Here is a 14,963-nt window from a genome sequence, read left to right on the forward strand (position 1 = left end):
AGGTGGAAGTAGCCCATGTCCATGGACAGATGAATGGGCAAGCAAAACACTGCGTTTCCGTGCAATGGGATATCACTCGGCCTTAAAAAGGAAGGAGAGTGTGACCCATGCAGCAACATGGATGAACCCTGAGGACATTACGCTGTGTGAAATAAGCCAAATACTGTCTGGTTGCACTTACATGACAGACCTGGAATAGTCAAATTTATAGAGACAGAAAGTAGAAGGGCAGTTGCGAAGCCTGGAGTGAGTAGGGAATGGGGACTTCTTGTTGAATGAATAGTTTATGCTTTGCAAGGGCAAAGAGATCTGGAATGGATGGTGGTGATGGTTGCCTAACAGTATGAATGTGCTTAATGCCACTGAGCTGGGCACTCAGCAGTGGTTAAGATGGTAAATTTCTGAGGTGTATTTTATCACAATTTTTTAAGTGAAAAAATAACATGGTAGACAACAGAGGTGACAAAATAGTAAAAATATCAGCACGGAGCTTCTGTGACAGGTGCAATGGGAACTCAGCTTAGAGGCCCTCTCCTCACACTGGGTGCAGCTCAGCTGAATGGCTTAGTCGGGTCAAGTGAGAGGAACGGGGCAGGGAAATGAGAGGGATGCTGAAGAAGAGGAAATGGGTGTAGAGCATCCAGGTTTTATAGATTCAGGAAATGTCTGCGGGATAAACATACAAATCACAGAAGATGTGGTTGATAAAGAAGAGCTATTAGTCATTTTTAGATGTTTAGTTTATGACTCAGCAACCCTGGTCATCCAAACAGGATCCCAGGAGCTCAGGAGAGTGGACTGAGGAGCAGCAGCCAGCCCTCCTGTGGACAAGCTCTGTCCAGGGGCCCCTGGTAAAGAACACAGCGTGGCCGGGTCCTTGCTCATGCCCTGGGGCTTTGATCAGCCACCATTCTCCTTGGAAGCACAGGCTTGGGGTAGGGCATCATTCAATGAATTGACATAAAACTTTGAACAGATTCCATCTGGAAAACATTAAGCACAGGCCTGTTTGCAGATGTGTTAACGCTGACTCAATTGTAATACAGGCTTTAACTTCTAAGCAGCATTTCTTGCTAGTCCATTGTGGAATATGCCTGCTGTTGACTGCATGGGCATTATGTGAACAGGGGCTGTGGCTGCAGAATTCATCTTTGCTTTGGCTCAGACCCATGTTTGTGTACGTAGGTGACCAAAATCACAAAACTAAATGAGCTCAGAGAAAGATTGATTGGCTCCATTGAAAATTTTTATCTGAAACTTTATATTTCAAGAGTAATTGGTGGTGCATTTGCGAAGTGCTGGTTTGGGAGTTCCGACTGAAGACCCTGTGTGTTGAGCGTAGAAGCGGGTGGGCAGTGGTGATTCAGCTTCTCCATGGTCCCCACCTTTACCTCGATCACACTTTGCCCTCCCAGCCACCGCAGCCTTCAGCCTCCCACTCCCACAGCTGGCATTGGCCTCATGAGTGCCCTGAGAACGGTTCTGCTTGATGTGCTGACTTGGGGGGCGCACCCCAGACAGGTGGGGCTCTGGGAAATGTGTGAATGAAGAAAGGAGCCAGGGCTATGCAGCTCTGAGGGGTGGAGGGAACCCAGGCCTGCGTGTGGTAGGAGAGGAAGCTGGATCTGTGGGCCTGAGAAGCATCAAGCCAGTGGCCTGGGAGAGTAGAGGCTCCGGTGTTGAGGAAGAACATTCCTGGATTGTTACGTAATCTTTCACATCTGTGCACCTTCGCTGTCTCAAGGAGAGTAAACGCCCTAAGGGAGGAACTGCGGATTACACTCCTTTGGGGCTGATTCTTCCAGGCCACTTGTCAGAGGAGCTTGTGTGGTTTGAATGGACAGATAAACACTCTCCTTTAGGATGTCATAGGCCACTGGGGTCCTGCAAGCAGGAGTGAACAAGGCCCGCTGTGGTGTCGCTAACGGATCCCAGGCAGGCACTGGGAGGTGCGTGCGACCTAAGGCTTGAGAGGAACAGATGCTGCTTCACTGAGCAGGTCTGGACAGCACTTCTCAAAGTGTGGTCTGAAGACCCTTGGGGTCCTTGAGGTCAAGACATTTTTTCAAAATATAATTAACTCGTTATTTGCTCCTTTTAAAAGAGCTCTCCTTGTCTCATGAGTGTACACGACATAATTGTTCTGACTTTTCCAGAAGTTACTTGACATCTGATGACTTCATTGCTCCGATGCCCAATGAAAGAGTGCCTGTGCATTTAAACATTTCTCAGCCTTAACCCACATACACAGAAGTGCTTTGGAGACCTCAGTCCATTTTGAGAGTGTAAAGGGGTGCCAGGACCAACAAGTTTGAGAACCACTGGGCTAAGACCAAAATGACAACAACCTGAAAGACTTTTAAGAAAGATGTAGAAGCAGACAGTAATTATCCATTCTTTTTAATTTTTTTTTTTTTTTTTGCAGGAAAAACTGCATAGAAAATCTAATGGATGAAGATGAGAAAGACAGAGCCAAGAGGTAAGATGCAGCTGTCCCCCTGCTCAGCAGAGCTCTCTGGCCCCCGGGGGTCTGCCTGGCAGAATCTCGCTGGCTTTCACTCTGTGCAGGTGAGGCCACCAGCAAGATAGGCAGCTGTAGGACACACTCTCTGTGACATATTGCAGTGCTCCATGAGAAACCTTCTAGAGAGCTCACTCAGCCCTGCCCCTCACTGTGAAATGACACATTGTCTAGGACTGGCTGAGTGGTCTGGGTTTTTGTCATGCTCCTGTGTACCCCTGTTGACACTGGTCATCTTTCAGGGCTTCTGGTTACTGCTTTTCCAGGACAGACACTGCTTGACAAGTCAGGCTGACTGGAGCCCAGCAGGCCTGGATTCAAGTCCTAACTCAGTTGCTGGGGCTCTGTCTGGCTTTGGATAATAATAATGATCATTGCCACACAGTGAGCATGCAGTCATCACCCAGCACTGTGCTAAGCACTTTTGTATACATAGATTAGCTCAGTTTCCTCGGCTGTAGATTGGAGATGTCATAGACACCTTGCGCTGTGGTTGGGTCAACTAAAAATACTAACTTGGCAGCTGGCATGTGAGAGCCCTGATAACCTGTCTATGTTGATTCCTTCATTGGACATGTATTGAATGCCTACTAGATATGCAGTGGAATCATAACAGTGACATTGAGAGGGTCAGGAACAGTTGAATGTCATCAGTTTCACACGATTCACCCAAGTCGGCAGTTACTGTGCCATGCTCTGGGGAAAAAAACGTGAGCAGGAAGCTCCTCAGTGGCTCACTGCAGGTCATTCGGGTGGAGGCCCAGCCACGAGCCTTGGCAGCAGGGGACATCCTCTCTGGAGACACTCTTCATTGCAACCCCACTGGACCAGCCTCCTTGCTGTGATCTCACCCCTTTCTGCCTCTGCCACTGCTTGTGTGTGGCAGGGCTCTCCGTCCTCTGTGACAGCCTCGTGAGCCTGCAGAGCTAAAGGGTTTGCCCACTTCCCTTCACAGAACCCACTGCTTGCTTGTCACCTGTAAATGGTAGTGCCCTCAGGTACCACCCAGCTCTGTGGCTGCAGGGCAGCTGTCGTTCCATGTCACCTGGAGAGGCAGCCATGAGAACCACAAATCCCTGGCCACCCCCAGACCTGCCAGACCTGAGTCTGCAAGGCATAAGGGGAGTCTGGGTTGTTTTAAACTCCCCCAATATTTCCTTTAAAAAAATCAGGGAGCAGAGGAAATGGCCAGAAGTGTAGACAGAACAGCCTTCATCCCAGGATCTGGGAGATCAGCACTGGGGACTCTTAGTACTCTTTACTTTTGCATATGTTTGCAAATTTCTGCAATAAAAATTCAAACAGGCATCAGTGCATAGAACTCCCCAGCTTATCCTGAAGTGACAAGCCCTTTACTTGGCATTGGGACCCAGGTGCTTTGCAAACTGTAGGTCACAACCTACAAGGGTTGCAAAATCCACTTGGGTTCCAAGCAACAAATGAATAGACTAGATTAGACCAGACTAGAGTTCCTTCCTCTGGGATGTTTTGGTTTCCTCCAGCATAGCTATGGATGGAGCGCTGGAGACAGATGTGAGCTGCATTCCTGGCCTGCCCTGTGCTAGCTGATGAATTCCAACTGACCCCTCATCTCTCAAAGCCTCTGTTTTCTCACCTGCAATGTAAGGGTAGTAGTGTCTGTCCTGCTTTCCTCACTGGTTATTTTGGAAATTAGCTACAAAATACACTGAGTAGTGCTTTTTAAATATTCATCATTACATGTGTATGAATATGCAGCACACTTTACAGTAATACATTTACAGGGCAATCTTTTTTGTGTGTGATGGAGTCTCACCCTGTTGCCTAGGCTGGAGTGTAGTGGCGCGATCTTGGCTCACTGCAACCTCCCTCTCCCGGGTTCAAGCGCAGGCCATTCTTATTAGAAATGATGGAAAGAACAGCAGTGGTAGCCAGCATTCGCTGGGTGCCCACAGTACTGAGCTAAGTCCTTTTATGTACGTCATCTCATATTATCTTCTCAACATTCCTTTGAAGTGTGTATCATTCTTATTCCCATTTTACAGGTGAGAAGACTAAAGTTCAACAAGGTTGAGTACATTGTCAGAGATCAGAAAGCTCTAGGAAGTGGCAGAATGAGAACTTCAATACAGACTTCTTTAATCTTAGACTCTATTCTTATCCCCAGACCACAAGAGGCTTTTCATATAAGACCAAACTCAATCTACCTGGCCGACTAGACAAAGAGCTGCATTCTGGCATGACTAAGGAGTTCATAGGAGTTTTACTTTTGCTGTTGTCATCTTTAATATCACCCTCCAAACCCCTTCTAGTCCCATCCCTGCCTCTCTCCTGCACCGCTTACCTCTAAATCAGGAAGAGATAAAAATGCATGTTTAGGCTCTACCATACGCAGAAATCAGCAAATATAGACATGCCAAAAAAAATCTGGGCTAAAAGTTCCTAGAAATAAATCAGTTTGTATGCAGTTTCTTTTCATTCATTCCCCTCCCCATTTGCTTTGGGCCATAAGCATACCTCCCCCACCCAAAAACTTCTCTACTTGGAAATCTTTGCACAGAGACCTGTGTAGTGAGGCTGGGGCCCACACTCCTCCCTTGTACTCAGATGGAAAAAGGAGTTTAGAACGTTTGGTGGTACCCAGAAATAGCAAGGACGCAGTACCCCTCCTAACACTTGGGAACACACACACACACACACACACACACACACACACCCCTAAGATCGTATTCTTTTCAAAGTAGTTTTTATAGCAGTAACATGGGAGGCCCTTCCCCTAATCCCACCTGGAGGCCTGGCATGAATTGTTTTTACTCACCCATTATTTTTGATGAGATTAGAAATGTTTAACTTGAGATCAAAACTCTCATTGCCTCCAGAAAACATGCTTTGTGTTAGGCAAGGCTTTCGATGCTTTAGGGAATTCATGGTGTATTTGGGTTGTTTGATCAAGTATTCCAAACAAGGGCACGGTTCCACTTTCTTCCGTGAATTTCCATGTAAATCCAGGGAGTATTAATTGAGTGTCTATTGTGTGTTCAGAACTGAGTGCTCTATTCTTCAGGGAAGACGCAAAAATATAGTCCTTGTACTCAAGAAGGAAACAGCTTGATTGAGAGATATTTGTAATCCCTAGATAATGAAGTTCACAGCTTTTTCTGTATTCCAGTTATAAGCATGTCTTTCTAATTCTGATGTGAAACAGTGTTGTAGGGTGTGTGTGTGTGCACGTGCATGCGCGTGCATTTGTGGTCATCCAGGAAGCAGTGTGGGGTAGCAGGAAGTGCGCAGGGTTAGAATCAGACAGGCCTGGCTTTGATTCTTGCCAATGTTTACTGTCTGTCCTTGGGCAAGTCACTAAATCTCTCTTAGCCTCAGTTTCTTCTTCTGTCAAGTGGGGTGATAATAGTAGCTACTTATTGCAGAAATTAAATGTAGCTGCGTCTGATCCCCTGGCACAGTGCAGTATGCAGTGCTGATAGGGAAAGCTAAAATTTGCAGAGCGCTCACAGCCTGCCTGGAGCATTTTACATGCAGTAATTCTCCAAGCCTTACAACACCTCCTCACAAAATAGGTTATTCTTAGCCCCATTTTACAGTTGAGAAACCTGAGGCTCAGGGATTGCACAGCCAGTTGGCAGCAGGCAGGGATTCAAATGCACACATCTGTTTCTAAAGTCTGGGCTCCTAACAGCGTCTGTGACATTCAGTAAATGGAAGCCGCTCCTTTTGAGTCACCACCTTCCCAAGGGGTAGAGAAAATAAGTTCTGATAGGAATTCTTGCTTTCCAAAGAAAGCAATTATCTAACTTTGCCGTATTGCAAAATCCAGCTTACTCCATTTCTTGACAGAAATGAGCACCTGTTGGCTAAGAAGAAACTGCTTCATATTCACCTCTTCCTTTAATCCAGTGTTAAATGAGTCCATGACCTCCTCTCTCCAGTCAGCTGTGAGGTTGTTTCCATAGTCCCATACCTTTGGTTGAGAGACGGAGAGTAGAAGGGGAGTTTATGGCTCTGCTGCCTTTGTTCATGAGAATCAAAAGTGTCAGGTCAGATTCGCTGATTCTTGGGGCTCTTAATGGAGTGGATGCTGGTTCTGAAACATCAGCTAAACAATTTTATGATTCTTTGACCCTAATTCTTAGTCTCAATGTCAATAAAGTGGTTCAGATGAGAGGGAAGAGTTCAAACATAAGCAAACAAGAAGCCTACGCATGCCATTTTGCAGAAGCAGATATTTCAGAAGGAAAAGGTTTAGCCATTTGGTTATTTCTTCTGGTCCCCCTGGGGTGGAGGAAAAGGATAGGGTAGTTTAATGACATGGACCAATGAATGGCTGAGACCATCCCATCTGTATTTGTTGACTAAGTGATGTGGTGAGCAAGTGGATGTTACAGATGAGGATACATAGCATTATCCTGCCCTCAGAGCGCTTTCAGGCAAGTTAGAGATGCATTCATGAAAATAAGCATAAAGAAGGAAAAGAAAACACTTTCTGCAGAGTCTGTTTTAGGCCAAGACAGGATGGAGATCGAAATTTGTAAACTCAACCCTTTCAGCCAATTGCTCTTTCAGGGAGAGTAATGTGGCAAAGAAGAGAGACTGTTCTCGTTTCATTTGTACCATTTCTTTGGATATAAATTCTGTAGGTCTGAAAGCAAAGGTCTGCCCAGAAAGGCTGTAGCCCTTTTGGAGGACTCCAGCCCCATGCACACTTGCAGAGTGCCCCTGCATGCAGGCACAGTGCAGTGAGAACCCCGGGCCCTCAGCATTGGACAGTGGGCTGATGCTCCCAGCTGGAGCCTGTCGTGCTAATTTTGCTGTGATTTCCTTTCATAGGCTTTGGATTGGGTTTTACTTACATCATCATAAGCTCCCACACGGGGGGAAAAAATGGCAGTAAAACATCTCTGAGGCTTCCTCTTTGTTTTTTTTTTTTTTATGGTTAAGGCAGCAGCAGGCATTGTGAGAACGCAGGAGGTAATAGGACATGCGATTCGTGTATATTACCTTGTAATTTCCAGATGAGTGATTCTGTTCTCAAAACAAAGGGGAAAGTAGAACTGTACTTGCAGGCAGAATGCTAATTCTTCCTGTAGCCCAGTAAACGATGGAATGGAAAAGGGGCCTCCCTCTGCTGAGGGGCTTTTGGCTTTTACCCTGCTAGCGTTCTTTGATTGGCTCAGAGGAGTTGTCAGAGAAGCGTGGTGTCTGGCAGGCTTAGAAACTTGGGAATGTCTTCGTTCAAGGAGATCCAGAACCTCTCTGGGGGCATCTGAGGCAAAAGGCAGTTTACTAAAGCCTTTTCAATAATTTCAGTAAATTTTAAATTGAAAAGAGATGATCAGGAATGCACCACTTGAAAATGCTGCCTTTCTTTAGAAAAGGCTAAACGTTTCTTTTTAGAATTTTGGTGACAAGTTCCTAACTATCATGTTCCAATTAAATGGTGCCTGTGTTACTGTTAACTAAGAGTCACTATGAAATTAGGCCAGCTTCCCATTTGGGCCCAGACACTTTCTGCTAACTGTGGTTAAGAGTAAAGCTGTTCTGTTGCTTCTCGGGAGAATAGACAGCCTCAGCTGCTCTCAGTCACCCCCAGACGCTTTGCTAAGTCTCTGCAATAGTTCCCTAAGTTCTCCATGAGGTGAGGATGGTATCAGCCCTTCCTGCTGGGGCAACTTTTCTCCCCACACAGCCAGATGACATCTTCTTTTTTTTTTTTTTTTTAAGACAGAGACTCTGTCTCACTCTGCTACCCAGGCTGGAGTGCAATGGCGTGATCTCAGCTCACTGCAACCTCTGCCTCCTGGGTTCAAGTGATTCTCCTCCCACAGCCTCCCAAGTAGCTGGGATTACAGGCGTCCACCACCATGTCTGGCTAATTTTGTATTTTTAGTAGAGTTGGGGTTTCACCATGTTGGCCAGGCTGGTCTTGAACTCCTGACCTCAAGTGATCCACCTGTCTCAGCCTCCCATAATGTTGGGATTACAGGCATGAGCCACCATGCCCAGCCTAATGTCTTCTTCTTACACCAAACTTCTTGAGACTCTGAGCCCAGTGATGCCCCCAAACCGCATGGCCTCAGCATGCAGGGATGCTGCCTGGGCTATGGAAGTGAGGGGTTGTGCACCTGTCTCCAGACTCTAAGCCTGGGCACAGGAGGGGACTGCACTGACCTTATATGGACCTTGATTTATGCCGAAGTTACCCAAAATGTATTATGGAGAATATTAATCCCAGGAAATGCCCCCAAAATAATTGCGGACTGTATGTTTACTGTTTCTCCCTTGTGGAGAATTTTAGGGCTTCTCAGCACATTAAAGATGCTAAGACTGCAATTAGCAAATAACCAAAAATCATACAATCCTGCATTTAAAAAATTATCCTGAAAAATAAAAACATAGTGGCAAGAAAATAACCTCCTCTGGCCATGGTCCTTCCCCTTTCTTCAAGTAATTCTTCATGATTTTCCACAGAAGACCCATTGACCAACACTATCTTAGGCAATAGATATGTCATCTGTATTCCCATTATAATTATACATTTTCTTATATATAAAAAATTCCAAAACAACATTTGAAAAATTCTGAAATGTTTGAAGATGTGAGCAAAGATTATTTATTTATTGAGACGGAGTTTTGCTCTTATTGCCCAGACTAGAGTGCAGTGGCGCAATCATGGCTCACTGCAACCTCCGCTTCCCAGGTTCAAGCAATTCTCCTGCCCGGCCACAAAGATCATTTAGAATCATACCACCTGGAGATAGCCACTGTTAATATTATAGCATATTCTCTGTCAGCCTTTCTTATACATTTCCATTCAATTTTTTTTTTTTGAGACAGAGTCTAGCTCTGTTGCCCAGGCTGGAGTGCAGTGGCACAATGTCGGCTCACTGCAACCTCCACCTCCCGGGTTCAAGCCATCCTCCTGTCTCAGCCTTCTGAGTAGCTGGGATTACATGCATGTACCACCACGCCAGGCTAATTTTTGTATTTTTAGTGGAGATGGGGTTTCACCGTGTTAGCCAGGCTGGTCTCAAACTCCTGGCCTCAAGTGATCCACCAGCCTTGGCCTCCCAAAGTGCTGGGATTACAGGTGTGAGCAATGGCGCCCGGCTTCCAGTCAGTTTTAATAGGAATGCTCATAGATGCTCTTTGTTAATGTGCATGACCAGCTCTAATGTATTCTTTAGGAAAGTTCACCTTTTATGGACAGCACTGTCTTCACTGAGCATCGTGTGCTGCAGTTGCCTCTTAAAACTGTGAGCACCTATTTGGTATATTTCAGTTCTACCAGAAATGTGTGTTCCTTCTACAACCTCAGTCGTAGGCACTGTGGAGACTACAAAGGAAGAATAAGGCCTAGTCCTGATATGCCTTCTAGAAAGGTTCAGTTTGCTCCATTTATTTATTTATTTATTTATTTATTTATTTATTTATTTATTATTATTATTTTGCTCAGTTTATAAAACTCAGATTTGAGAAGCCTAGTGCTGCACCCTTTTCAGTTCCTGTCCCATCCTATAATGCAGAACTAGTGACCCCAGGTAAGATATGCCAGAATTCCCCGTCTGGAAGGAACTTGGGTATCAGTGTGTCTTTGGTTTAGGCATTAACTATTCTGGGTTTCTGTTGCTATGTAACAAACCACCCCAAAATGTGAGGGATTAAAGCAATGGCATTCATTTTGCTCATGGATCTTTGACTAGGGTAGGGCTTGGCAGGGAGTGCCTGTTTCGTTCCAGGTGGTATCAGCCAGAGTAGCTCAAAGATGGTGGGTAGAACCCCCTGAAGACACGCTCACTCCCACACCTTTGGTTGATGTTGGCTTTCAACCAGCATGTCCACTGGAAGTAGCTTTCCCTATGGAGATATGGCTTCCTCACAACACGTGGTTGCATTCAAGGGCGAATGTCACGGGGAAGCTCTATCTCCTCTTAGTACCTGGCTTTGGAAGCCAAACATTGTCACTGCTGCTGCTATCTATTCATCAGGAGCCAGCCTCCAAGTCCAGCCTTTATTCAAGGGAAGGAGAATTAGAACCCATCTTTTGATGGGAGAGCTTCAGAGAATTTAAATGCTGTGTGTCAGAATCACCATATCAATGTCCTCACTGTTTTTTAAGAGGAAACTGAGGAACGTGTGGTTGGGAGTGCCTTGCTTACTCTCTCCTGGCTTAGGTGCCGAACGAGGATGAGAACTCACATCTTCTGAAGTCTGTCTAGTGCTCATCTCAGCCAAGCCAAATTGTCTGGATTCTCTTCTTCCCTCCACCTCTCTTCAGCTCCCGGTGGGAATTGGGAACATGAAAATAGGATGCCTCATAGAATGCCTTTAGCTCCTCACCATAGAGACCCTCCAAGGGCAAGAAGTCACTCTTCAGAGAGCTGCACATCTATCTGCATACCTATTTGTACCTCTTGTTCAAATACCAGCTCTTCTTGGCAGCAAGGGAGCCTGCTAGTGCTCCCTTCACCAGTTCCGAACATAGCTTTCCAACTTGATTGGAAAGCATTTAATTTATGAGCTTTCACTCCATTTGGTCAACTGTCTTTGATTCAGAGAGCATCTTCTATATTCCCCCATCAGGATGCCCTATTTACTCAGTTAACAGAACTAGACTTAGTGGAGCCAGTTTAAAAGATGGCACCCTTGGGAAGAGGCACCAGGAAAAGCATCTTAGTAGCAGGGAAGCCTGATAGACGTTATGGATAGTTTCCCAATGGATACCAGAGATGCATAAGCTGAAGACATTGCCAGCCAGAGCAGTCCACATATGAAATGGATTAAAAGGAAGAGCTTCCTAGGAATGATAGTTTTTCCCCCCTCTTTTCTCTTTTTACTGCCTTTTATCCTCATTCCTGATCCAGCTCACAGATGAGGAGTTCCGATTCAATGGTTTTTAATTTTTTCCCAAGGGAAACATAGGACTTTTGGTGATGTATAAAATGTACCTGCACCACTATGCATGCGTTCTTGTGAATTTAAGGAAGACAGAGGGCCAAGGACACAAACTTGGGGGTGCTCGATGTCATTCACCTGCATGCTCAAAGTATTCTTGGCACAGGGTCTCTCCCAGCAGGATGGGAAATGAGCATCTTCCTTCCTCCTCTGTGCCACAGGCCTCTCAGAAGGACCTGATCCCCATCCCAGCTACAGCCATGCATCTTGGGCAGCTGGGTGTGAAGTCCAGTCTTGCACACTAAGTGTGCACACCTGTATCATCTCTTCACCAAGAAGGAGGGGAGAGAAGCATTGAGTATGGTGTAAATAATATGCATTTGTCTTATGAAATCCTCTCAGAGAAGCGCCTCCAAGATTCCACCTGTGGGAGAAACCCAAGGGGTATGGGTGTGGGTGTGTGTGTGACACTTTGCCTTGGAACCATGGCCCTCTCCTGCCTTGCATTATGTGGTGACTCTCCTTCCTTCAGCCTTCCTGAAATACCACAGACACAGCCCCTTTGTAAGAGTATGGGGCTACTGTGCTAGGACTCGCTTGGATCCTGAGCTGCAAGTACAACCCTCCTCTGGATTCCAGAGTTCTAGAGAGCTACGCCTGAGGTGCACATCTACTCTCAGAGGGTAGGGAAGCATAGGACAGTAGTTTTATTGGGTTAGTAAAACTCCATGTTGATGTGCAATGGCGGATTCCTTTTGATGCTTTTTTAATGTTAGCTCATTCCAGAGTGATACACTAATACCAAGGGAAGAAGGGCCTGCCCAGTTCGTCTGTCATTCTCTTTGTTCTGCAAGAGCTACCCAGAAATATGTTTCTTCAAGAGTCTCTTATAATTACAGTCCAGCTCACCCCATACGCTTTTCTGCAAAAGGATCTTATTAACAGCCCCTGCCACCAGGCTTTTATATTCTCTGTTCCCACCCTTTGATTTCTATGGGTTTTTTACAAACTCATTAAAAAATATATGAAAAGATATATGAGAGTTTTGGATCTTGGTAAGATGGAGTTAGCCTACTCCGTCCTGTCCATCACACTGAATGCAGCTGTAAAGCGTGAGCAGAATGCATGAAACAGCCATTTGAGGACCCTGAAGAGTAAATAGTAGGGTGCAGATTGGGGAAGCACTACCAAACCAGCAGCGAGTTCACCATTTTTTCCCCTGTAATATCTCCTAGCCTAGACTCAATGCAGCCCCACACCCAGAAGTGGGCCTCTGCTGACAGAGAGAGGACCAGGAGCTCTAGTACTGGCTTAAGGAGCAGGAACAAGGTCTCCTAATGCTCAGATTGTGCAAGGTTAAATCTGCCCTTTTTTGTTTTTTATTTATTTCCTTGCATCCCAGAAGCAATCCTCCAACAGCAGCATAGCAGGAGCAACAGTGGCCATCAGAATCCACATGAAACCTTTTATGCAGAGGAAGGGGAACCTCTCTCCAGACAGAGCAGCTACACTTCCAAGAGGGTGGGATGAAACCCTGCTGCTTTCTTCCCCCTTGCTCTCTATCTTCCTACTGCTTGGCCCCAGATGAAAGCGCAGATGTAGGTAGTATGAGGAAGGGCAGGATAAATAGAGCCAGCTTTCTGGCCAACGGAACAGAAAGGGAGCCTGGGAACCAGAAGGTACTGGGCAGATTTCAGAGAGGGAGGTGCTCAGGAAAGTGACTCTATAAAGCTGGTTGTGAGTTTCTGAGCTCACCCCTGAGCTGAATCTGCATGGATCTGATCTTGAGCAGCATACCATAGACCCTCAGGTCTGAACTTCAGAATAGACCACCACCCAAGGTCTATGACTGGCCATGTGGAACATATTTTAGTAGCACTATGGATTTCTCATCAGAAAACAGGGAAGCCTTCTGATAGGGGTAAAATATTTTTTAAATGTTAAAAGAAAAGAGCTATTAACCCAGAATTCAACATGCAGTGAAAATATCCTTCAGGAATGAAGGTAAAATGAAGATTACTCTCAAATGAACGAAAACTTCCTGTCAAGAGACCTGCTCTGAGAGAATTACTAAAGGAAGTTTTTCAGCAGAAAGGAAATGACACTAGATAGAAACTTGGAATAGGAAGAATAAAGGAAGAAAACAGAAATGGTAAATATTTGACAAAAACAGCATAATCTGATAGGGTATATTTAGTGTATGTATAGATAGTACATAAGACAATTGCAGCATAAAAGAGGGGAGAAGGTAGAGGGGGCTATATAGAGAAAAGTTTCTAGATTCCATTTGAAATGATAAAATATTCTAAGTGGACTTTGAAAAGACAAGTTTGTATATTACAGTCCCTAGAATTATTACTAAAAGTCATACAAAGAAATATGGAGGGGAAAACAATAGATAAATTAAAATGGAATACTAAAAAATGTTTAAATAATCCAAAAGAAAGCAGGAAAGGGGAAATAAACAATAACCCAAAACAAAGAATGTACAAACAGAAAGCATGTTAAAATAGAAAATGTAAATCCAAACATATGTGATTACATTAAATGTAAATTGTCTAAATATGCCAACTAAAAAACAGATTTTGTTCCAATGATTTTTTTCAGTAACCTAAATACCTAAATATATGCTGTCTACAAGACATTCAACTCAAATATGATGCTATAGGTAGAGGGTAAAAGTAAAACTATGGAAAATGATATACCAAACAAACACTAATTAAAGAAAGCCAAAATGGTTCTATTAATATCAAATGAAATAGATTTCAGAGCAAAGAAATTTACTAGGAATAAAGAGTGACATTACGTATGATACAGGATCAATTCACCAAGAACAGATAATAGCTCTAATATGTATACACCTAAAAACAAAGCTTCAAAGTACAGGAAGCACAACCTGAAGAAGTTAGATGAGTCTTTAACATGCTCCTCTTAGTAATAGAACTAGTAGAGTAAACTTCAGCAAGGATATAGAAGAACTGAAAAATGCCATCAACCAACAGAATCTGATTGGTATTTATACAACATTCCACTCAGCAATAACAGAATACACATATTTTCAAGTACATATTGAACATTTACCAAGCTAGACCAAACCCTGCTTCATAAAACAAATGTAAATAAATTCAAATGAAAAAATTAGAAACAGAAAGATAGCGGGAAAAATATCTCCACATCTTGGAAATTAAACAACAAACTGTGTAGTAATCCATGGGTCAAAGAGAAAGTCTCAAGGATATTAGAAAATATTTTAGCTAAATAAAAATGAACATACATTTCAAAATTAGTGGGTTGCCGCTACAGCAATGCTTAGAGGGAAACTTGCAACATTAAATGCTCTTATTAGAAAAAAAGGAAAGGTCTCAAATCAACAACTAATCTCTACCTTAAGAAACTAGAAACAGAAAAGCAAAATAAACTCACAGCAAGAAAGATGGAAATTAGATATAAACACAGAAAGTAATAAAATTAGAAACAGAAAAACAATATAGAAAAATCAACTAAACTAAAAGGTGATTTTTTAAAAGATTGGCAAGGCATGGTGGCTCATGCCTGT

The 14,963-nt window shown here is 44.1% G+C and overlaps 1 protein-coding gene across 20 annotated transcripts in view, besides 3 other annotated features; it reads left to right on the plus strand.

Moving 5' to 3' along the window:
• The window catches only part of NPAS2 (neuronal PAS domain protein 2), a 178,107-nt gene that overhangs the window by 83,585 nt on the left and 79,559 nt on the right, over positions 1-14,963 (plus strand). For all 20 annotated transcript variants that reach the window (XR_007075420.1, XM_047444506.1, NM_002518.4 and 17 more), the window contains exon 2: positions 2,426-2,479. Coding sequence is in view for 19 of the 20 variants with exons in the window: in XM_047444503.1 (XP_047300459.1) it covers positions 2,426-2,479 (54 nt within the window). In the remaining variant the exon portion in view is untranslated. The remainder of the gene's footprint in view (positions 1-2,425; positions 2,480-14,963) is intronic.
• Positions 74-1,273: an enhancer, noted in NCBI's record as "MED14-independent group 3 enhancer chr2:101518843-101520042 (GRCh37/hg19 assembly coordinates)". NCBI's record gives its function as "activates an origin of replication core promoter dependent on BRD2, BRD4, P300/CBP and CDK7 cofactors, and independent of MED14, by STARR-seq in HCT116 cells {active_cell/tissue: HCT116}" and the evidence as "EXISTENCE:reporter gene assay evidence [ECO:0000049][PMID:35650434]".
• Positions 74-1,502: a biological region, named in NCBI's record as "MED14-independent group 3 enhancer GRCh37_chr2:101518843-101520042".
• Positions 980-1,502: an enhancer, noted in NCBI's record as "H3K4me1 hESC enhancer chr2:101519749-101520271 (GRCh37/hg19 assembly coordinates)". NCBI's record gives its function as "activates a minimal SCP1, AML or CMV promoter by ChIP-STARR-seq in primed H9 embryonic stem cells {active_cell/tissue: H9 hESC(primed)}" and the evidence as "EXISTENCE:reporter gene assay evidence [ECO:0000049][PMID:30033119]".

This window comes from Homo sapiens, chromosome 2, assembly GCF_000001405.40.
Source record: "Homo sapiens chromosome 2, GRCh38.p14 Primary Assembly".
In the NCBI taxonomy this organism is placed as follows: domain Eukaryota; kingdom Metazoa; phylum Chordata; class Mammalia; order Primates; family Hominidae; genus Homo; species Homo sapiens.